Genomic DNA, 24,280 nt, shown 5'->3' with positions numbered 1-24,280 from the left:
CAATGCTTCTTTATAATTTTACTGAAAGTGAATAATTTTTCATGAAAAATTCTTGGCATAATTACAAAGGAGGATTCTACAAACTAAGAAACAGAAGTGTTCTAATTCTGGTGGAAAATTTTTTATATTTTGTAGTATACTAGAATAAATTTAAGATTTTAAATAAGAGAAAGATTTTTAAAAATCTAATGATCTCCTAAAAACACAGTAAATGAGTTGCTTCTGATATAAGCAAAACTAAGAGTTCTAGTACATCATATGAACTATGTTTGGATATCCTGTGCATTAATCCTACTTTATTCATTCTCTCCCCAGGCACTGACCCTCCTCTCCCCATTAGCAGTCAGTAACATTTATCAATCACTATAGAGAAAACTGGCAGCCCAGGAAAGATAAAAGGTTAAATAGTGATTGTTTCATGCAGCAAAAAATATCTAAAAATACAAAAGCTTTCTTGGTTTTCCTAATAGAAGTCACTTATAACAGGTGCATTAAGTCTAGCAGTTAATGGAATCTGAATTTAGAAGTAATATTTTCTACTTAGTTGAACAGAATTGCTTGCATTGGAATACACCAATAAATTCATATTTGTCTTTGGTTTTTCATAAAATGCTTCATTCTATTCAAAAGTGCTGCATGAATAGTGCTACACACTACAGGCATTCCCCAACTTACAGAAGGGTTGTGTTCTAAAAGCTCATCTGTAAATCGGCTTCCTAGAACTCAGATCACATTTTTTCACTGAAATAATTTTCTAAAGGGCAGTTAGGCCATCAGGCCACCCAATAGAAATCAATAAGGTCTAAATTTATTGGACCTACTGTGATTTAGTGAAGCACTGTGGTTTTTGTTTTTTCAACTAACCACTTTGAACCATTATTTATTTGGTAAATGAAATACGGATTCTAGGACTACTACTCTCCAATGCTCTGTGCAGGCAGAGACACACATATATATACACACATGCATTCTCCCTTACCCACATCTATGTACCAAAAGCTTCCTTACTCATCAGAGTAAGCACACTGAAGCAGTTTAGACAAAAGGCTCCTGCATTTGAAATCTGGGGAAGTTACAGTTCTAGAGCCTATTAAAGGAGCAGTGAACACAGAAGCTTCCACAGGAACTATTCCTATTGAGTCTCATAGATGCAAAGCAGAGTCTTGCAGGCAGTTGGTGGATTGTAACTTCTACCAGATTTATCTTCCAGAAATATAGTTTAAAAACAAATTAGCAACTTCCGTAAGTCCCAGACAGAGTAATCAGGCAAAAGAAAGAAATAAAGGGCATCCAAATTGGAAAAGAGAAAGTCAAACTATCTCTGTTTGCTGATGATATGATCTTATACCTAGAAAGCCCTAAAGACTCCTCCAAAAGGCGCCTAGCTTTGATAAATGAATTCAGTAAAGCCTCAGGTTACAAAATCAATGTACATAAATCAGTAGCACTGCTACACACGAACAATGACCAAGCTGAGAATCAAATTAAGAACTCAATCCCTTTTATAATAGCTACAAAATAAAATAAAATACTTAGGAATATATTTAACCAAGGAGGTGAAGAACTCTACAAGGAGAACTACAAAACACTGCTTAAAGAAATCATAGATGATACAAACAAATGGAAATACATCCCATGTTCACAGACTAGAAGAATCAACACCATGAAAATGACCATACTGTCCAAAGCAATCTACAGAGTCAATGCAATTCCTATCAAAATGCCATCACTCTTCACAGAATTATAAAAAAAAAATCCTAAAATGCATATGGAATTTTTTTAAAAAGGCCCAAATAGCCAATGTAATCCTAAGCAAAAAGAACAAATCTAGAGGCATGACATTACCTGACTTCAAATTATACTAATATAAGGGTATCATAACCAGAACAGTATGGCACTGGCATATAAGTAGATATGTAGACCAATGGAACAGAATAGAGAACCCAGAAATAAAGTAAATATTTACAAACAACTGATCTTCGACAAAGCATACAAAAACATAAACTGGGGAGAACAAAAGGCAGCAGACCGCTTCTGCAGACTTAAATGTCCCTGTTTGACATCTCTGAAGAGAGCAGTGGTTCTCTCAGCATGGCGTTTGAGCTCCGAGAAGGGACAAACTGCCTCCTCAAGTGGGTCCCTGACCTCTGTGTAGCCTGACTGGGAGACACCTCCCAGTAGGGGATGACAGACACCTCAAACAGGTGGGTGCCCCTCTGGGATGAAGCTTCCAGAGGGAGGATCAGGCAGCAATATCTGCTGTTCTGCAGCCTCTGCTGGTGATACCCAGGCAAACAGGGTCTGAAGTGGACCTCCAGCAAACTCCAACAGACCTGCAGCTGAGGGGCCTGTTGGAAGAAAAACTAACAAACAGAAAGGAATGGCATCAGCATCAACAAAAAGGACATCCACACCAAAACCCCATCTGCAGGTCCCCAACATCAAAGACAAAAGGTAGTTAAAACCACAAAGATGGGGAGAAACCAGAGCAGAAAAGGTGAAAATTCCAAAAACCAGAGCATCTCTTCTCCTTCAAAGGATCGCAGCTCCTCGGCAGCAAGGGAACAAAACTGGATGGAGAATGAGTTTGCCAAATTGACAGAAGTAGGCTTCAGAAGGCTGGTAATAACAAACTTCTCTGAGCTAAAGGAGCACGTTCTAACCCATCACAAGAAAGCTAAAAACCTTGAAAAAAGGTTAGACGAATGGCTAACTAGAATAAACAGTGTAGAGAAGACCTTAAATGACCTGATGGAGCTGAAAACCACAGCAAGAGAACTTTGTGACTCATGCACAAGCGTCAATAGCCGATTCGACCAAGTGGAAGAAAGGATATCACTGATTGAAGATCAAATTAATGAAATAAAGCAAGAAGACAAGATTAGAGAAAAAAGAGTGAAAAGAAATGAACAAAGCCTCCAAGAAATATGTGATTATGGATAAAGACCAAATATACGTTTGATTGGTGTACCGGAGAGTTATGGGGAGAATGGAACCAAGTTAGAAAACACTCTTCAGGATATTATCCAGGAGAACTTCCCTAACCTAGCAAGGCAGGCCAACATTCAAATTCAGGAAATATAGAGAACACCACAAAGACAAAGATAATCCTCAAGAAGAGCAACCCCAAGACACATAATTGTCAGATTCACCAAGGTTGAAATGAAGGAAAAAATGTTAAGGGCAGCCAGAGAGAAAGGTCGGGTTACCCACAAAGGGAAGCTCATCAGACTAACAGCAGATTTCTTGGCAGAAACCCTACAAGCCAGGAAAGAGTGGAGCCAATATTCGACATTCTTAAAGAAAAGGATTTTCAACCCAGAATTTCATATCCAGCCAAACTCAGCTTCATAAGTAAAGGAGAAATAAAATCCTTTACAGACAAGCAAATGCCGAGAGAATTTGTCACCACCAGGCCTGCCTTACAAGAGAGCTCCTGAAGGAAGCACTAAACATGGAAAGGAATAACCGGTACCAGCCACTGCAAAAACATGCCAAATTGTAAAGACCATGGATGCTATGAAGAAACTGCATCAATTAACAGGCAAAATAACCAGCTAACATCATAATGACAGGATCAAATTCAAACATAACAATATTAACCTTAAATGTAAATGGGCTAAATGCCCCAGTTAAAAGACACAGGCTGGTAAATTGGATAAAGAGTCAAGACCCATCAGTGTGCTGCATTCACGAGACCCATCTCACATGCAAAGACACACACAGGCTCAAAATAAAGGGATGGAGGAAGATCTACCAAGCAAATGGAAAACAAAAAAAAAGCAGGGGTTGCAATCTAGTCTCTGATAAAACAGACTTTAAACCAACAAAGATCAAAAGAGACAAAGAAGGCCATTACATAATGGTAAAGGGATCAATTCAACAAGAATAGCTAACATTCCTAATATGTACCCAATACAGAAGCACCCAGATTCATAAAGCAAGTCCTTAGAGACCTAAAAAGAGACTTAGACTCCCACACAATAATAATGGGAGACTTTAACACCCCACTGTCAATATTAGACAGATCAACGAGACAGAAGGTTAATAACAAGGATATCCAGGACTTGAACTCAGCTCTGGACCAAGCAGACCTAATAGACATCTACAGAACTCTCCACCCCAAATCAACAGAATATACATTCTTCTCAGCACCACATTGCACTTATTCTAAAATTGACCACATAATTGGAAGTAAAGCACTCCTCAGCAAATGTAGAAGAACAGAAATCACAACAAACTGTCTCTCAGACCACAGTGCAATCAAATTAGAACTCAGGATTAAGAAATTCACTCAAAACCACACAGCTACATGGAAACTGAACAACCTGCTCCTGAATGACTACTGGGTACACAACGAAATGAAGGCAGAAATAAAGATGTTCTTTGAAGTCACTGAAAACGAAGACAGAATGTACCAGAATCTCTGGGACACATTTAAAGCAGTGTGTAGCGGGAAATTTACAGTGCTAAATGCCCACAAGAGAAAGCAGAAAAGATCTAAAATCAACACCCTAACATCACAATTAAAAGAACTAGAGAAGCAAGAGCAAACACATTCAAAAGCTAGCAGAAGACAAGAAATAACTAAGATCAGAGCAGAACTGAAGGAGACAGAGACACAAAAAACCCTTCAAAAAATCAATGAATCCAGGAGGTGGTTTTTTAAAAAAATCCACAAAATTGATAGACTGCTAGCAAGACTAATAAAGAAGAAAAGAGAGAAGAATCAAATAGATGCAATAAAAAAATGATAACGGGGATATCACCACCAATCCCACAGCAATACAAACTACCATGAGAGAATACTATAAATTCCTCTATGCAAATAAACTAGAAAATCTAGAAGAAATGGATAAATTCCTGGACACATACACCCTCCCAAGACTAAACCAGGAAGAAGCTGAATCTCTGAATAGACCAGTAACAGGTTCTGAAATTGAGGCAATCATTAATAGCCTATTAACCAAAAAAAGTCCAGGACCAGATGGATTCACAGCCAAATTCTAACAGAGGTACAAAGAGGAGCTGATACCATTCCTTCTGAAACTATTCCAATCAATATAAAAAGAGGGAATCCTCCCTAACTCATTTATGAGGCCAGCATCATACTGATACCAAAGGCTGGCAGAGAAACAACAAAAAAAGAGAATTTTAGGCCAATATCCCTGATGAACATCGATGCAAAAATCCTCAATAAAATACTGACAAACCAAATCCAGCAGCACATCAAAAAGCTTATCCACCATGATCAAGTCAGCTTCATCCCTGGGATGCAAGGCTGGTTCAATGCACGCAAATATATAAACGTAATCCATCACATAAACAGAACCAATGACAAAAACCACATGATTATCCCAATAGATGCAGAAAAGGCCTTTGACAAAATTCAACAGCCCTTCATGCTAAAAACTCTCAATAAACTAGGTATTGATGGAACGTATCTCAAAATACTAAGAGCTATTTATGACAAACCCACAGCCAATATCATACTGAATGGGCAAAAACTGGAAGCGTTCCCTTTGAAAACCAGCACAGGACAAGGATGCCCTCTCTCACCACTCCTATTCCACATAGTGTTGGAAGTTCTGGCTAGGGCAATCAGGCAAGAGACAGAAATAAAGGGTATTCAGTTAGGAAGAGAGGAAGTCAAATTATCTCTGTTTGCAGATAACATGATTGTATATTTAGAAACCCCATTGTCTCAGCCCAAAATATCCTTAAGCTGATAAGCAACTTCAGCAAAGTCTCAGGATACAAAATCAATGTGCAAAAATCACAAGCATTCCTATACACCAATAATAGAGAGCCAAATCATGAGCAAACTCCCATTCACAATTGCTAAAAAGAGAATAAAATACCTAGGAATACAACTTACAAGGGATATGAAGGACCTCTTCAAGGAGAACTACAAACCACTGCTCAAAAAAATAAAAGAGGACACAAACAAATGGAAGAACATTCCATGCTCATGGATAGGAAGAATCAATATCTTGAAAATGGCCATACTGCCCAAGGTAATTTATAGATTCAATGCTATCCCCATCAGGCTACCACTGACTTTCTTCACAGAATTGGAAAAAACTACTTTAAATTTCATATGGAAACAAAAAAGAGCCCACATAGCCAAGACAATCTTAAGCAAAAAGAACAAAGCTGGAGGCATCACGCTACCTGACTTCAAAGTATACTACAAGGCTACAGTAACCAAAACAGCATGGTACTGGTACCAAAACAGAGATATAGACCAATGGAACAGAACAGAGGCCTCAGAAATAACACCACACCTCTAAAACCATCTGATCTTTGACAAACTTGACAAAAACCAGCAATGGGGAAAGGACTCCCTATTTAATAAATGGTGCTGGGAAAACAGGCTAGCCATATGCAGAAAGCTGAAACTGGATCCCTTCCTTACACCATATAAAAAATTAACTCAAGATGAGTTAAAGACTTAAATGTTAGACCTAAAACCATAAAAACCCCAGAAGAAAACCTAGGCAATACCATTCAGGACATAGGCATGGGCAAAGACATCATGACTAAAACACCAAAAGCAATGGCAACAAAAGCCAAAATTGACAAATGGGATCTAATTAAACTAAAGAGCTTCTGCACAGCAAAAGAAACTATCATCAGAGTGAAGAGGCAACTTACAGAATGGGAGAAAATATTTGCAAACTACCCATCTGACAAAGGGCTAATATCCAGACTCTACAAAGAACTTAAACAAATTTACAAGAAAAAAACAAACAACCCCATCAAAAAGTGGACAAAGGATATAAACAGACACTTCTCAAAAGAAGACATTTATGCAGCCAACAGACATATAAAAAATGCTCATGATCACTGGTCATCAGAGAAATGCAAATCAAAACCACAGTGAGATACCATCTCAGGCCAGTTAGAATGGCGATCATTAAAAAGTCAGAAAACAACAGGTGCTGGATAGGATGTGGAGAAATAGGAATGCTTTTACACTGTTGGTGGGAGTGTAAATTAGTTCAACCATCGTGGAAGACAGTGTGGCAATTCCTCAAGGATCTAAAACTACAAATACCATTTGACCCAGCAATCCCATTACTGGGTATATACCCAAAGCATTATATATCATACTACTATAAAGACACACGCACACATGTTTATTGCGACACTATTCACAATAGCAAAGACTTGGAACCTCCCAATGTCCATCAATGATAGACTGGATTAAGAAAATGTGGCACATATACACCATGGAATACTATGTAACCATTAAAAAAGGATGAGTTCGTGTCCTTTGCAGGGACATGGATGAAGCTGGAAACCATCACGTTGTGCTCGTGTACACGTTTTATATATGGTGAGAGATCCCTATCTCTCACCATATATAAAAATTAACCCAAGATGGATTAAAGACTTAAATCTAAGACCTGAAACCATCAAAATTCTAGAAGAAAACTTAGGAAAAACTTCTGGGCATTGGCCGAAACAAAAAATTTATGACAAAGACCCCAAATGCAAATGTGACAAACACAAAAATAAATAAATGGGACCTAATTAAACAAAAAAAACTTCCACAAGACCAAAGAAATAATCACCAGAGTAAACACACAACCTATAGAATGGGAGGAAATATTTGCAAAATATGCCTCTGACAAAGGACTAATATCCAGAATCTAAAAGGAACTCAAACAAGTCAGCAAGAAAAAATCAAATAATCCCATTAAACAGTGGGCAAATGACATGAACAGATATTTCTTAAAAAGAAGATATACAAATGGTCAACAAACATGAAAGAAATGCTGAACATCACTAATCATCAGGAAAATGCAAATTAAAACCTCAGCGAGATACCACCTTGCCCTAACCAGAATAGCTATTATTAAAAGTGAAAAAACAATAGATGTTGGTGTGGATGTGGTGAAACGGGAACGCTTATATGCTGCTGGTGGGAATGTAAATTCGTACAACCTCTATGGAAAACAGTCTGGAGATTCCTCAAAGAAATTAAAATCCAATCCAGCAATTTCACTACCGAGTATCTACCTAAAGGAAAAGAAATCATTAAATCAAAAAGACACCCAGATGTGTATGTTTATCACAGTACAATTCACAATTGCAAAGATATGGAATCAACCTAAGTGCCCATCAGCCAATGAGTGGATAATGTTTTATATATATATATATATATATATATACATATATATATATATATATGTATATATATATATATACACACACACACACACACACACATACATATACGTATGTAGACATATATGTATATACATGTGTGTACATATATACGTGTATATACGTACGTGTGTGTGTGTATATATATATATATATATATGATGGAATACTACTCTGCCATAAAAAAAGAAAGAAATAATGTCTTTTGCAGCAACTTGGATGAAACCGGAGGCCATTATTCTAAGTTAAGTAACTCAGGAATGGAAAACCAAATACTACATATTCACACTTATAAGTGGGAGCTAAGCTATCAGTATGCAAAGGCAGACAGAGTGGTATAATGGACATGGGAGACTCAGAAGTGGGGAGGTTGAGAGGATGGTGATGGATGAAAAACTACCGATTAGAGTACAATGTCTACTACTCAGGTGACGGGTACATTAAAATCCCAGACCTCGTGACTATACAAGTCATTCATGTAACCAAAAACCACTTGTACTCCTAAAGCTATTAGAATAAAAAAAAAAGGATGTAATCATTAAATGAAAGCATAAACTAAAAAAAGAAATTTCCTAATAATCACTTTTAATATATATTTTTGTTTATAAACTCAAATAAAATATAGATTACATTTGTGAACTATGTGTGTGCATTCAAAGCTATAACAATGTCTCCTCCCCAACTGCAGAGATGAGGGGTCTGAAGGGCCTGAAGAGCAGCTAAAGCAAGGGCTCCTTGAAAACAGCAACAGGCCCTCCCTCTGCCACAGGGAAATGCCAGCAGTAGCAGTAGGCCATGGAACCAGCATGCAAGGAGTGGGCTGCTTCTATTGGTCTACTTTTCTACTCCACCAAATGTATCTATATTTCACTGCTTTGAAGATTTTTTTAAGCCACAAAATTGTTTTCATGGATGCAAAAAAAAAAAAAAAAAAAAAAAACAATGTAAAAAATCAGAGCTAAAATAACTTCACATGCATATACTTTCTCATATGCCTATTCATTTAACAATTTGAAAGAAAAATACATACAGCTATTCTTCTTGAACCCTGGAGGCGGAGGTTGCAATGAGCCAAGATTGCACCACCACACCGCAGCCTGGGTGACAGGGCAAGACTCCGTCTCAAAAAAAAAAAAACAAAAAAACCTAGCTATTCCTAGCTATTCTATTATTCAGGCCCAATCCCAATGTATAGTTGCTTGCTTTTTAAGTTCAGAATTTTATGAGTATGCTTCAGTTATGCAGTGTGACCATTATAAGATTTTAAATGTATTTTTATAAAGCCCAGATCCAGAAATATGACATGACTTTCCAGAGACCACTGTGGAATCATATCAAAAACCAAGCAGTTTCCTCCCAAATTCAGCTGAGGTCTACTCCACTTGCCTGCATAGGTGTTGGCCTTGTTCAGAAGGTCGGTACATGCATGCATATCAGCAAAAGCCCGGATTCCTAAGCAGTTGACAGGGTGAAGCTGGGATTCCAAAAATTCACAACAAGTCTTCTTCACATCCTGTAACTGTAAGAGACCAGCTGCTGGGAGAAGTACCTGCAACACACACATCAATATTCTTAGGCACTTGGGTGGAAAAACACTGCCTCTTTGACCACTTCTACATAGGACACAAGATGTTCAGCCATAGTTTATTATCTGCGTCCATACCCCCATATTCCCTAGAAAACAAATATAAAAATTATTTTTAATAACAATGATGACTCTTCACATTCCCCATAATTTCCATGTAATCTTTCAAAGGCCTCTTCTCCTTGGTCAGAAGAATATGAGATATCAGATCTTATAAGATTAATGGTTTGTTTCATAAGCATAAACAAAATGTTATTTTGACTTCTAAAAACACAAATTCTTGGCAGGGCATGGTGACTCACACCTGTAATCCCGGCACTTTGGGAGGCCAAGACAGGAGGATCGCTTGAGTTCAGAAGTTTGAGACCAGGCTGGGCAACATAGCAAGACCTCATCTCTACAAAAAATATAAAAATTAGCCTGGTGTGGTGGCACGCAACTGTAGTGCCAGCTACTCAGGAGGCAGAGGTGGGAGGATCACTTGAGCCTGAGAGGTCGAGGCTGTAGTAATCTGTGATCACCCCACAGCACTCCATCCTGGGTGACAGAGTGAGACCCCATCTCAAAAACAAAACAAAACAACAACAACAAAAGCCCGTAAATTATTAGGATGCTAGGGGGTGCTATGATTCAATGAAAATGGTTTTGTTCTCTTAGTTCAAGCAGTCATGCACTTCAGTTATCTGTGGGGAAGGAGTGGCCCCAGAGTAATCCATATCACAACAAAGCCTCATTTTGCTGAAGGCCTGTTTTTCCACTGTATGAGTATCATAACAACTGCTTTCCTTACGGGGTAGAACAATTTAAAGTTCAACAACAGTCTCTACCTATAAGCAGACAGTTTCTCTAGAATGTAATATATGTGCTAACAAGGAAAATGTAATAGGTGATTATCTAATAACTTTTTAATTTGCATTTTTATTTGAGTAACTCCAAGCAATTTTATATTAATTATAGGTTATTCTGTGGGATTGAACCACTATCTTCACTATGAATACTATATCCAACACTACAAGTGCTTTTCAAATAAGTCAATAATAGAAAAACATTTTTCCTTGTAAGTGAATTATTACAGTGTTATATAAAGGACCATATTTGAAAGTCAAATTAAGGAGAAAAACTTCAAAAAAAGGTTATCGAATTCTGGTGATCCTTTATAAAAGCCAAAGAAACCCCACAAAAAAACCTTCAACTATTCGAACAATGGTAAATTTTAGAAAAGACTACATTAGCATTAAAAAAAGATCTAAGTTCCTTCAGAAATTGACTTTCATATATGCCACACTGCAGCCCAAAGACAGAAAAATAATAGTGGTTTATGACTATATGTTATGACTTTCCTAAATCTATGGAGTAAGTCCTAAACATAGAAAAGAAAGACATCATTCACATCTCTCTGTAACAAACTTCTTACCTTCTTAAAGGAAGCACAGAAGCTTTAACTCCTGAATCTAAAGGCTCAAGAAAAAATAGAAACAGTATCCAGACATAAGGCCTTTTCCTTCTGAGTTTAAGAAAAATAGGTCAGGCGTGGTGGCTCACGCCTGTAATCCCAGCACTTTAGGAGGCCGAGGCAGGTGGATCACTTGAGGTCAGGAGTTTGAGACCACCTGGCCAACATGGTGAAAGCCCAATCTACTCAAAATACAAAAATTAGCTGGGTGTAGTGGCACACACCTGTAGTCTCAGCTACTCAGGAGGCTGAGGAAGGAGCATCACTTGAACCCTGGAGGCAGAGGTTGCAATGAGCCGAGATCACACCACCGCACTCCAGCCTGGGTGACAGAGAGAGACTCCGTCTCAAAAAATAAAAATAAAAATAGAAAATAAAGTATAAATAACGTTACAGCCAAACTTTTTGCATGATATGTATAGTAGGTTTCATTATGTTATGAGAATGAATATCCACAGAAGGCTTTAATTTGTTGATAATTTTCAAATTGCAGGTTTTTCCATGCCAGTGTAATTGCGCTCTGAAGCAACATAAAGTGCGTTCCAAGATGCTTAATAGTACAGCCATTTAATTCAGCAAATTAAATTTCTACATATAGTTTAGAAAGTGGTCTTCAGTGTAAAATTCAATCTCTGTGAAATCTGCACAAATAGTATGATCACTCCTCTAATTAGCATTTTCCTAGAGAAAACAGTATAATACTTAAATTGTTTGGTCACACAGAACGATGAGGAAAAAGTGGTTGGGCAGGAAACAGGCTCACTTACACATTGTTGGTGGGAGCACATATTGGTCCAACCTCCATGAAGAACAATTTGTTTATTTCAAATTCAAAATTACAAATGCACATGTCCTCTGACCCAGCAATTTAACCTATAGATATGCTAACATATGCACAAAATCTCACATGCACAAGATATTCATTACAGCATTATTGTGGCTAATAGAAGTTAGAAAAAAGCCTTTAATGTCCATCATAAGGAGACTGATCAAATAATTGGAATCATCCATTCAATTGCAGTCATTCAAACGAAAGAGGAAACTAATAAATGAGATAATTTCTAAAATATATTCCTGAGTGAAAAAAAAATTAGTCGTTGGTATATTATGCTAACATATACACCCCCCCCACACACACACATATATGTGTGTGTAGCAGGCTTTTAAAATTTCATTTTGCTTTATTGATTTCAACTTAATCATTACCAAGTTCAGATCTACCGTATTAGGAGACCGAAATTCATAAAATTGTAGATTCTCCTATCTGGAAGGGGCATAACAAGTCATCTAGGTAGAAATATAAAGTTATTTCAACAGTGGTCCATGTGGCTAGATTATATTCACATATAATTTTTTTTGATGACAGTGAAACGTGGTTACATGCTTGACAAATATATGCTAAACATAAAATAAATGTAAGTCAAATGTACAAAAAGTTTGTTCATATTTTTCTTTTGTCAGTAAATCTTTTGAAATTGCCTTGGTTTTATGATGTAGTTTTACTAGGACTAAACTTCAATAGCTCATAATTATGTAATTAATTATATACAGCTTCAAAAGCAATTACTAATTGACCCAGCTTGCTAACATGACGCCTGGTGACCATCAGTCACTGATAATGAAAACAGGAAAACAGCTGGGGCCACATCAACTCCTAGCTTATTTTGGGTGCCAAACAGCCACTTAAAACAAAATTTAAAATGCTCTGACTTCAGATGAACCACATCCCATGATCAAAACCACTCAAACAGCTGTCACCCTGCAAGCTGAAAGTTTTGAGATCAAATCAAATCAAACCTTCTAATTTGTGTGATGAAGAAACCACACCCTCGAGGGGTTAAACGGCTTGACCAAGTCATACAGCGAGTCATGGAAAGCTAGGGATATAATCAAATTGGTCAGCTCTTTGGTCTACTGTTCTAATACCTTCAACCCCAAATTTAGGTGCAGAATGGAAGTATTTGTATAATTTCTAAATCTCCAACACTGTCCTTTTCATGAAGAATAATAAAGACAACAACCACTTCAACAATGCATTATTGCAGTTACTTCCATTTACTGAGTAATTACTACATCAGGCACTGTGCTAAGCACTTGCCAGACAATAATATCTCATTATCTCCATCATACACAAGCGAATACAGAGGGTAGGAGAAGTTGGGTAACTTGCTAAAGGTCACACACCTGGTATGGGACAGGCCAAGCCTGCTATGAGAGCGGTACTAACCAAAATGTGCATAATGATTTTAGATGACATACAGATAAACTTCTTGCATTAATAGTTAAGAATATAGGTTCAGGGCAGGCTTGGTGGCTCACACCTGTAATCCCAGCACTTTGGGAGGCTAAGGTGGGCAGAGCATTTGAGGTCAGGAGTAGGAGTTCAAGACCAGCCTGGCCAACATAGCAAAACCTCGTTTCTACTAAAAATACAAAAATTAGCTGGGCATGGTGGTGCACACCTGTAATCCCAGCTACTTGAGAGGCTGAGGAAGGAGAATTGCTTGAACCCAGGAGGCGGAGGTTGCAGTGAGCCAAGATCGGACCACTGTACTCCAGCCTGGGTGACACAGTGAGACTCCATCTCAAAGAAAAAAAAAAAAGAATATAGGTTCATAGTTAGAAATACATTTTTTTAAGTTATTTTCCATTTATTTCAATAATACAATAATATAAACATTCCTTCTCAAGTAAACTTATTTAAGCAAAAATTGACTCACTGTAGAGAAAAACATTAAAAATTTAATAGCATCAGCACTTGTAGAATATAGCAAAATCCTGAAGCTGGCCCACAAATGATTACAAGTGATCAGAATTTGGAAAACCCTGATTTAGGAGATCAGATTTAATATTCTAGTCTTTCAATATCTAATGTAATTCTGATCCTGTGGTTTTACATATCACTGAAAATGAAGAATGTGCTTTAATCTGGAGCTATCATAATCCCTTGGCTTACTTTCTACTGAAGTAGATACATTGTACTATTGGTAACAAATGTGAGAAACACCTAGCAATGTAAAGAGGTGATTTCTTAATTTGCTATTTAGGTCACAAAAATATCTTGGGCATTGTAACTAAAAGGTCCAATGAATAAATTTATGTCTTTGAAACTTATTTTCTGAGCTCTCTGAAGCAAAGGAGCAGTTGAACAGTGCTGCTTCTCATATGAGGTAGAATTACATTGATACAATAAACCCCCAGCCACCATCTAATGGAAATTTCCATCTAGTGCAGAGTTGCACTAGTGTTAACCCTGAGATTGATTAAAAATAACCCCAAGGCACTCTATGATCCTTTTTTTTTTTTTTTTTTGTCATAGTTAAGCACAGACCATCATGCAGTACCTTGGATTTCTATACAGTACTCTTGGTATGATATGAAAAAAAAAATTCTGCCCTAAATTTTGTTATTCTCTGGATTTAAGTATATTCCAAAACATCAAAGATGGAGCAATTATAATTTGATATATATTTTGAATGTTAAAAATATTTTCTAAGAATCTAAGAGTGATTAAATTCCATATAGTGTATGCACTGAGGGAAGGCCACACTCCAAAAGCCAAAATATCTCTCTTGGGTACATCTGCCTCTAGGAAAAATGTAAAGCGGACAGTGAATGTAAAGAGGCCCTCGCCCCTCCTTCCTACATCCTTCTCCTTTAGTTCTATTCCATCAACCGAACCCTGAGTCTCTTCACTCTCAGTTTATCTGTGTGCCATCTAAAATCATGAGAACCCTGGTGTTCTCACCATGGGCTCAGTCCCTTTCAAGTCACTACTAACAGCACTGCTCCATTTCATTTGCTTCACAGCACCTACTGCTGTCAGCACTGATGTTATGTATTTGTTCCCATGTTTACTGTCTTCCTGCAAAGGAATGTAAGCTCTGTGGCAGTAGGATCACGTCTGTTACCCCCTGCCACATCCTCAGGTCTCAGAATGTGTACCTCATAAATGAATCAACCTGAACATAATTTTATGACTCCCATGTGTATTTCTATTTTGAGATACAATTGTGCATGTCCTTTGAGACAAAATTACAAGCTCTGTTTCTAGGAATGTATATGTACCAGACACTTCTTGTAGCCTACCACAAATCTTCTCAGCCTTACTTCTTGCCCAACCCACCACTGCAGCAACCAGGCCCAAGCAGGCTTTGACCACCTTTCTGAAGATGTAACGTAACAGGGCCTCACCCCAGCCCCTGGCCATACCTCTCTCTGGCTTCCTATCCTAGGCCTTCAGTGATGCACTGGGCTCATACCCACACAGTCTGGAAGCATGCAGGAAATAATGCTGTGGGACCACCCTTGACTAGTGGAGAATGCATCAAAGGAAGAGAAATACTTCCCCCTGGTATTCTCCTAGAAGACAGTTCTGAGACATATTTTATAAGGCTTTCAAAGGTCCCGTCACATGTAGCTATGGCCAGATCTGTACTGCACCTATGAACCGGTTTTCCCTCCTTTCCAGCTCAAGTCCTCCATTCACTCACTGTGGCTCCTTGGGATCACTTCCCAAATAAATGAACTGCACATAAGCCTTGCTTGCAGAAGGACCCCAAGCTGTTATATTACACAATGGAACAAACTGCGAATGTGAATATACTTAGCTAAAGAACTATTAATTATAGTGCTGTTTAAATTATAAAAAATTGAGAAGAACTTAAATGTCCAATAACAAGAGAAAAATAAAGTCAATTCTATAATATCAATGAAATTGAATATTTTTCAGCTCTTAAAAGAGATACAGTAGACAAATATTTAATGACTTGGAAAAATGTTTCTAATACATTTAGTATAAAAAGCTAGTTTCTAAAAGAATCTACAGTATGACCCCTTTTTTGGGTAAACACATGTGTACATAACAACAAACAGTATTAGAGGGCTATACCACAATTGTTAATATGTTTTATCTCTGGTTAGGTGTGATATGAACATTTCCTATTTATTTTTACATATTTGTTAAATTTTATGTATTTGTTAAGTGGTGCATTTTCTATGTACCATTTAAATGGTCAAATATTATTTAAAAGAAAGTCAGGGAGAAGCAAGTAAAGAAATTTCTTTCTGGATCTCTACAATGCTAGCAAATATAACAAGGGTTAAGGGGAGCTATATATGGACTGTGGCTTCTCCGGGAAATATTACCCACCACTCACTAGAGATTGCCTCACTTTGGCGTGTTGAAAGGCCTTTGGAGTCTGAAAGGCCTTTGATCATCAAGCCAGTGTTTTGTAGAACAGTAACCAGGCTCTACACGTTACTCTTCCTGTTCGGTGAACAGCAACAGTTTTAAGTGTTTGGAGAAACATGAAGTAGAAGGACATAGCACCTGATTAAATAAATCTAACTTAAAATGTTGTCATTTTGAAAAACGGGGAAAAAAAAGCTTTTTTATTTGTACATGTTGATTTCCAACCAATGGAGACAAATAAAAGGCTGCACATTTTTTACCGTGGAGATGCTTTCTGCAATAAACAAAGAAACGGAGGGGAGAAGCCACCACTGATCAGAGAAGACACTGTAGAGCATGAGAAATGGAAGACACCCAAGCCAAACAATTAGCATCTGTGTGACACTCTCACACCAGCTGCACATTGTAAAGATGCTTTCATCCTACTTCACATTGTTTGACAAGCCAAATTACATAGAAGATGTTTCGCTTAGACAAGTATACTCCTTCTGCTTGGCTATTAGGATCTGTAGTTTATTTTCAGCTTGCATATTTATTCCATAGGGGGAAATAATTTATGTAGTATGTCTTTTAAATCCTGAGCCATTAGCAGTTTGCTTATTAGGAAGAGACTACCAAAGGGTCCGATTGCTCCACATATATATAACTTCTAAATATCTAAGAAAACATGCAAGCATGAAAAGACAGCTTTTGTTGTTGCTGTTGTTTTTGACTCAGCTAGCCATAGCTATCCTGCAAGGTGGAGCTTGGGGAGGAGTGTGGGGAGAAGGTAGGCAAGGGTGATGTGTTTAGAAGATGAAACGCTTAGTGACAAGAAAGGCAGATCTGGGTGGAGAGTCATGGTTGGATGCACATAGCAGAGGGCTGGGTTTTGCGGCCAAGGAGTAGGGTTTTGAGATGTAGAAGTATGAATAAGGAGATGGCAGAGTGCCAAGGACAAACATTTCCTATGTCAAAACTCTGCACCGGGCCAGCCCCCTACATCCCAGAAAGAGGAAGGAAACTTTCTTCCTCCTCCTTTCCTGTACCCCACATGCAACCTCGCCTGCCTCCTCCCAACACTCCACCCCTAGGAATAGGTATGTCCCACAGAGTTTAAAAAAAACAAAAACAACCTCCCCCTCCCCACAAAAAAACTGTCTGATTAGCTCATATTAATGGCTAATAACACAAGATCTTCCAGAATAAATCCCTTCTAGGGGTTTTTAACATTTTAAGAGAGGTTGACTCTTAAGCAGAATACAACTGCAATTGGTGGCATTTCCAATGTTATAATTAATGAAGTAGAAAAGCAAAGGTAGTATGGAGAGGAGAAATTTGGGGGCAAAGCAGCCTCAGGCAGACTGAAAGCCATCTCTCCTACACTATCCTTTTTCCAGTTGCTACTTCTACTACTTTTAACCCAAGGTTTCTCTTAAAAGTCCAACTTATTTGAGAGTGGCTCAAATGGATAATGAAGACACCACCTACCTTTCAGGGTTATTGAAAAATTAAATGTCAGTCAACGATTTAACACAATGCATGGCAATGACCATGTAGCACATCAGCTCTGACTCAGCGCTTTTTTTCTTGGATTGAACATTCTACCTCATGAGAATTGAACACCAAGATTTACTCTCTCCCGCATAAGATGATGTTTTATCCCAGATCATTCACAATATAGGTAGCTTCCTTTTTTGATCAAATATTCTCAACATAAAAGATGTAATCAGGGAAAATTTGCAAAAGAAGAAACATAGCATACAAAAATGATAAATGTATTTGATGCCTCATTAGTTATCAAGCGAATATAGAACCATGAGAGTGCATTTTATAACTACAATACAAAATGTTTTTACTTTTCTTTCTAGCACCTCCCAATTCAAACAACAAAATGTTTCCAGACAATATATATTCAAACTAAAGTACAGTAAGCCTTGGCCCTTAGCATATCTTTGCTGTCACTGTAAACTAATCAACTGTCTTAGAAAACAAATAAGGAACATTGATCAATAGATACCAAAAAATATAAACGTTTAAAACATTTGACCCTAAAATTATGTTTCTGAAAATCTACCTTGAGAAAAAAGTCCAAAAAATGGAATAAGATACGTAAATGACTTTTACTTTAGCATTACTTAGTAGAAAAAAAACCAGAACCAACTAAAGATCTAACAATATGGCAACAATTAAGTAAAATATGATAAATCCACATGATGAAATGTTATAATCAGTAATAATAAAGACTAATAATGGCTTTAAAAATAACTAACATTTCTAAAGTATTTGCTATAACAAACAATCCTATTATAAAATTAAATGGACTTGGCACACAGCTTTAACCTATCATCATATTAGAACAACTTAATGGACAACAAGCTCCTCTGATCTCAGGAAACTTAAATAATAAAACAATGTTGACACAAACAGAACGAACTACTGAACACTTCCACACCAAGTATTTTTAACACATAGTGGACAGAGTAAAGAAAGTGTTCTACTGGCTTTTTTAATGACAGCTTGGCTCCTGCCCTTGCATCCTTCACTCCTACAGCTTGCAGCACTGGATCTGGATCTGGATCCCATCCCGTCTCTAGTCAGAGGAGACACATATCCATTAACATGCTAAACTGTAATAAACCCTTACAATGCAATACTCATCAATAAACAGGGACGACTACTGAAATACACAACAGCATAGATGACTCTCACAAATATGTTATGAGGAAGAAGTCAGCCTTAAAAGAAATACATTCTGTATGATTCTATTTATATGAAGTTCAAGAACAGGGAAAACTAACCTATTATAATAGAAATCACATCAATGGTTGCCTGGAAAGGGAGTGGGAGATTTATTGGGAAGAGACCTGAGGTTATAAATGCTCAATACCTTGATTTGGGTGTGGATTAATAGATGTGTACATTTGTTATAACTTAGCAAACTGTACAGTTAAGATCTACAGTATGTAAATTATATCCCACTAGGGGAAAAACAATCAAGTACAGTGAACCCTCCATGGGATTCAACCAACCTCAGATCAAAAATATTCAGGAAAAATAGTGCATCTGTACTGATTATATACAAACTTTTTTTCCTGTCATTATGCCCTAAACCATACCATATTAATGATTATTTGCACAGCATTTACATTGTATTAGGTATTGTACACAAACTAGAGATGATTTAAAGTATACAGGAGGGGCCAAGCATAGTGCCTCACATCTGTAATCCCAGCACTTTGGGAGGCCGAGGCGGTTGGATCACCTGAGATCAGGAGTTCGAGACCAGCCTGGCCAACATGGTGAAACCTGTCTCTACTAAAAATACAAAAAGTAGTCAGGCATGGTGGTGGGTGCCTGTAATCCCAACTACTCAGGAGGCTGGGGCAAGAGAATCGCCTGAACCCAGGAGGAGGCAGAGGTTGCAGTGAGCCGAGATCGCACCACTGCATTCCAGCCTGGGCAACAGAGCGAGACTCCGTCTCAAAAAAATAAAAAATAAAAAAGTATACAGGAGGATGTGCATGTGTTATATGCCAATATTAATACTATGCCACTTTAAGTCAGGGACCAGAGCATGCTTAGATTTTGGTACCCAAGGGAAGTCATGGAACCAAACTCCCACAGATACTGAGGGACAGCTGTACTTTAAATCCATACTAATAGATTAACCAGAGGTCAACGGACAGCATTTATAAGCCATGAAATAAATTTTCAAATAGAAAATAATAATCCTACCTGATAGAATCCAAAATAAGAGGCAACCCCGCAAAAATGCATTTACATGACCAAATTGCTACACTAGCATTGATAAACTTATTTTAAAACAGTAGCTTGTGCATCCATGTCAGTGATATAGCTATATTCTATTTTCGCAAGAAATAAAGTTTTCAATTAGCAATAATCATGCCTCAGATAAACCTCATTGGCTATGATACTGCCATTGTACAAAGCTAGAAATAAAGTTTTCATAAATTATATAGCCTAAGAAAAGGCATAATACACTTAAGCCAGATTATCAGAAGCACATTAATTTTACTAACCTAACAATGAGATTAAGACATTAAGGTCCAAGAGGTAATAATATTTTTAAGACTATATGTCAATAATGCTAGGGTTTATAAAACCTTTGGCTGGTGTCAAACCAAACATGCCAGAACCACATATAATTTAACAACTCTAGACTGTGACCACCTGGACTGGATTGGAGAGGCGTACCCTGAACACTGGCAACTAGCCTGATACAAATGTGCTATCCCACACACAGGCTCCATACCTAAACAACATCACAAACAAGAAAAAAAAAATCCACTTTGAACTGGATATATTTCTAGTAAGGACTTTGATTTGTTTCTATTTGTCTTGTTCGAGTTCAAATTACAAAGATGCTGTTATAAGATGCTAAATCATAATCAGGATGGAGTCATTTTTTTGTTCATCAAGATAAATGCCTTTTATGTACCACATGAAACTACTTAAAACGTGACTCTCAAAATGATTCAGCCATGGAGACATCTTCAAGGACCATATATTTTAATAATACAAAGCCACAAGTAACTCAATTACTAACGCTTCTAGAGTACCTAGCCTTGCTCCGAACAATAAATTTTTTAAAAACCACTTTGGGGCCGGGCGCGGTGGCTCACGCCTGTAATCCCAGCACTTTGGGAGGCCGAGGCGGGCGGATCACGAGGTCAGGAGATCGAGACCATCCCGGCTAAAACGGTGAAACCCCGTCTCTACTAAAAATACAAAAAATTAGCCGGGCGTAGTGGCGGGCGCCTGTAGTCCCAGCTACTTGGGAGGCTGAGGCAGGAGAATGGCGTGAACCCGGGAGGCGGAGCTTGCAGTGAGCCGAGATCCCGCCACTGCACTCCAGCCTGGGCGACAGAGCGAGACTCCGTCTCAAAAAAAAAAAACAAAAAAAAAAAACCACTTTGGGTTTCGTATCCATCTAGCTTTATAAGATGCTCTTATACTAAGGTTTCTAGGTTTTCTCAAACTAGCTGACCTCAATGGCCATTCCATATTAAATTTTAAATAAGACTTTTTTTATTCTATATTCTTATATTGAATAAAAATAATTTAACTAGAATGGAGAATGGATGTTCTAGTTGGTCTAATATTTTGATTAAAACTATGAGGATTACCAAATTCAGACTTAAAATATAATAAAATACAATTAACATCAAAACTCAAATGGTAAATAATTTAAATTTTTATGCCTCTGGATAATAATAAATTAGTACTAACCAGGTAAAGTGATAAAATATCAAGGTAACTGATTTCTGGGTGCTAGAATGTCAGATAAATTCATTACAATGATATAAGTACCCATGGTTATATCATAAACAACCACTAATCCTGAAGGTTTGATACAGGAATTTATGTATTTTTTTTTTTTAAGTTTTAACCTGTGTTTTCCAAGCACATCATCTGCCAAACCCTTTTTTACTCACAAAGGACTTCTATCCCATAAGAGAAAGAAAACAGAAATGGAAAAGCAATAAGCCTTCCATAGACACTGCTGGGAGATACATAACTTTTTCTCTAACCATTACATGTCAAACCAATGGAACAGGTGATTCTAAATCAAAGATTTAGCATGGTACTACAATCACCCGAGTGTGGTCTCCATGCCAACTCAAATGCACAAGAGGGAGAGAACTCTATAGCAAATTAGGGACATTTTTTATATGACCTGATTCAGAATATAAAGAGGGAAGGAAAAGTCATAGGAGCTATTTTCTACCCAGTGATCCCAAATAATTTTAATGAGTTATTCTTTTTCTTGGTCTTAAGTCTTTTTATTCCTGCCCATCTCTTATTTCTGCTCAACATTTATAGAGCATTTAGATATTTTTGCAAGCTTTAACTGGTATATTTTTACACGATTTCAATGCAGTGGCAAAGCACTGTTGGCCTCATTTAATAGCTGAGAAACAGAAAGGTTAATATCTTACTCAAGGCCCTTCTTGAAGTCAGTAATAAATTCAAGATTTGAGCTCTGAATTTTAATACTATAATTAGCCAAAGTCCACTGGGCCATGAAGTTTACTAGAAAGCCAATCTAAGGGCTCCTTATTATTTTCTGAGTTGTTCCACATTAATGTAAATATGCAGCATTATACGTATAATTCAAATGATTTTACCTTGAGGAGTTGTTAACAACATTTTAAAAAACTGCTCAGTAGATGTTTCTGTTCACCTTGAAGATGAACTTTCTACAGAACTCCTTGCTACTTGGCAACTTCTAGATGTGTGGCTACGAATGAAGCATGGTCATCCACTCAAAATGGGTGGAGGGCAATGTTGGAGGAGCAGATCTGGAATATGACTGTAACAAAGCTCAAAACATAATCAAATATATAGTGATAGTCTCTGTCAGAACAAACTATTTTTTTTTTTTTTGAGACGGAGTCTCACTCTGTTGCCCAGGCTGGAGTGCAGTGGGGTGATCTCGGCTTACTGCAAGCTCCGCCTCCTGGGTTCACACCATTCTCCTGCCTCAGCCTCCCTAGTAGCTGGGACCACAGGCGCCCGCCACCACGCCCAGCTAATTTTTTGTATTTTTAGTAGAGACGGGGTTTCACCGTGTTAGCCAGGATGGTCTCGATCTCCTGACCTCATGATCCACCTGCCTCGGCCTCCCAAAGTGCTGGGATTACAGGCGTGAGCCACCGTACCCGGCCAAAAGAAACTATTTTTAACATGAGGTTTAAAATGGTCCACATTATTAAATCTCCACAAGGAGATAAATAAGAATTAAAAATACCAGGGCACCCTGCCCTCTAGTTGAGAATCTCTGTGTCAATGAACCACTGTGTCTGGTGGAGTTTGGCACATCCTCAAGTGCTTGGGGACAGAAAAAGACAACTACCAGATTACAAAAAAATTCAGAAATGGGTTATCCAAAGAGCAATTATTTGTCAGAGTTTTCCCAGTACCATGAAAGGTAAGGAGACATTGGATTTCACAGTATGTAATCAATACTCAAATCACTAGAAAGGTATATTTTGCAGTGGGATGCCAGTTTGGTAAGACTTTCCATTACCACTTTGAAGTAAATTCCCTTTCCTTGTGATTCCCTGCTCACCAAATGAAGCTCTGATTACTAATTCTATCACTTAGGTATCTAGGTCCTGAGAATGATGCACACCGGATAATGTAAACACAGTCCCTAGAAACACCTGTTACCCACTGAAAATTAGTTTAAGATCATTTTGGTTTATGTATTAGTGTTCTGATTTTGGCTACTCTGAGCTATTTCCCAAAAGTCTGATCAACTCTGAAGGAGCTAACAAAATAGTTTCTAGACCTGCAAAGCCAAGAAATAGATTGGGCAAGCGATGTCTAACCCCCACTGTGACATCACCTTCATTGCTCACCATCTCAAGCAGGTCCATCTGAATCTCTGTGCCCTGTTCCAGGAATTGCACCATGAGCCAGCATAGAAAACAAAGTATACTTTCTGGATTACCACTGAGTACCTATGTCTTCCTGATATCTAAGCAGTCAACATCTATTAGTCATCTGTTGGGTATTTCCATGCTAGAAATGCATGCTGAAGAATACAGTCTAGAAAAATAAAATATATACACAAATAACATAAAAATCACTGTATTTATGCATAAACAATAACATATATTCAGTTACATCTCTACTGTTCATGAAACTTTTCTCTCTCACACTCCAAGTAACTTATAGCTGAATTTTCGAATTCTTTTGACCACACTACATAGTAAGACTTTTTACCTCACAACCTAGAACTCAAAGTTTCACAAAACCTGCAGACTTGCTAGGATCTGCTATTTTCTTCTGAAACAGACTTTAAGCTTGAATAGCATTTCCTACTCTTGTCTCTAATTTTTCTCTTAAATGCTAATAATGACCT

The 24,280-nt window shown here is 37.6% G+C and overlaps 1 protein-coding gene and 1 pseudogene across 12 annotated transcripts in view; both read right to left on the bottom strand.

The window, feature by feature from the left end:
- KLHL2 (kelch like family member 2) overlaps positions 1-24,280 on the bottom strand; it is a 115,596-nt gene that overhangs the window by 50,236 nt on the left and 41,080 nt on the right. For all 12 annotated transcript variants that reach the window (XM_047449560.1, XM_017007674.2, XM_011531572.3 and 9 more), the window contains one exon: positions 9,562-9,724. In XM_047449560.1, coding sequence (XP_047305516.1) covers positions 9,562-9,724 — 163 coding nt within the window. The remainder of the gene's footprint in view (positions 1-9,561; positions 9,725-24,280) is intronic.
- On the bottom strand, positions 20,260-20,341 carry RNU4-87P (RNA, U4 small nuclear 87, pseudogene; annotated as a pseudogene).

The sequence above is a fragment of the Homo sapiens genome, chromosome 4 (assembly GCF_000001405.40).
Source record: "Homo sapiens chromosome 4, GRCh38.p14 Primary Assembly".
NCBI classification, from domain to species: Eukaryota; Metazoa; Chordata; class Mammalia; order Primates; family Hominidae; genus Homo; species Homo sapiens.
The sequence above is the reverse complement of the archived record's forward strand: the minus strand, read 5'-3'. Positions and strand labels throughout refer to the sequence as shown.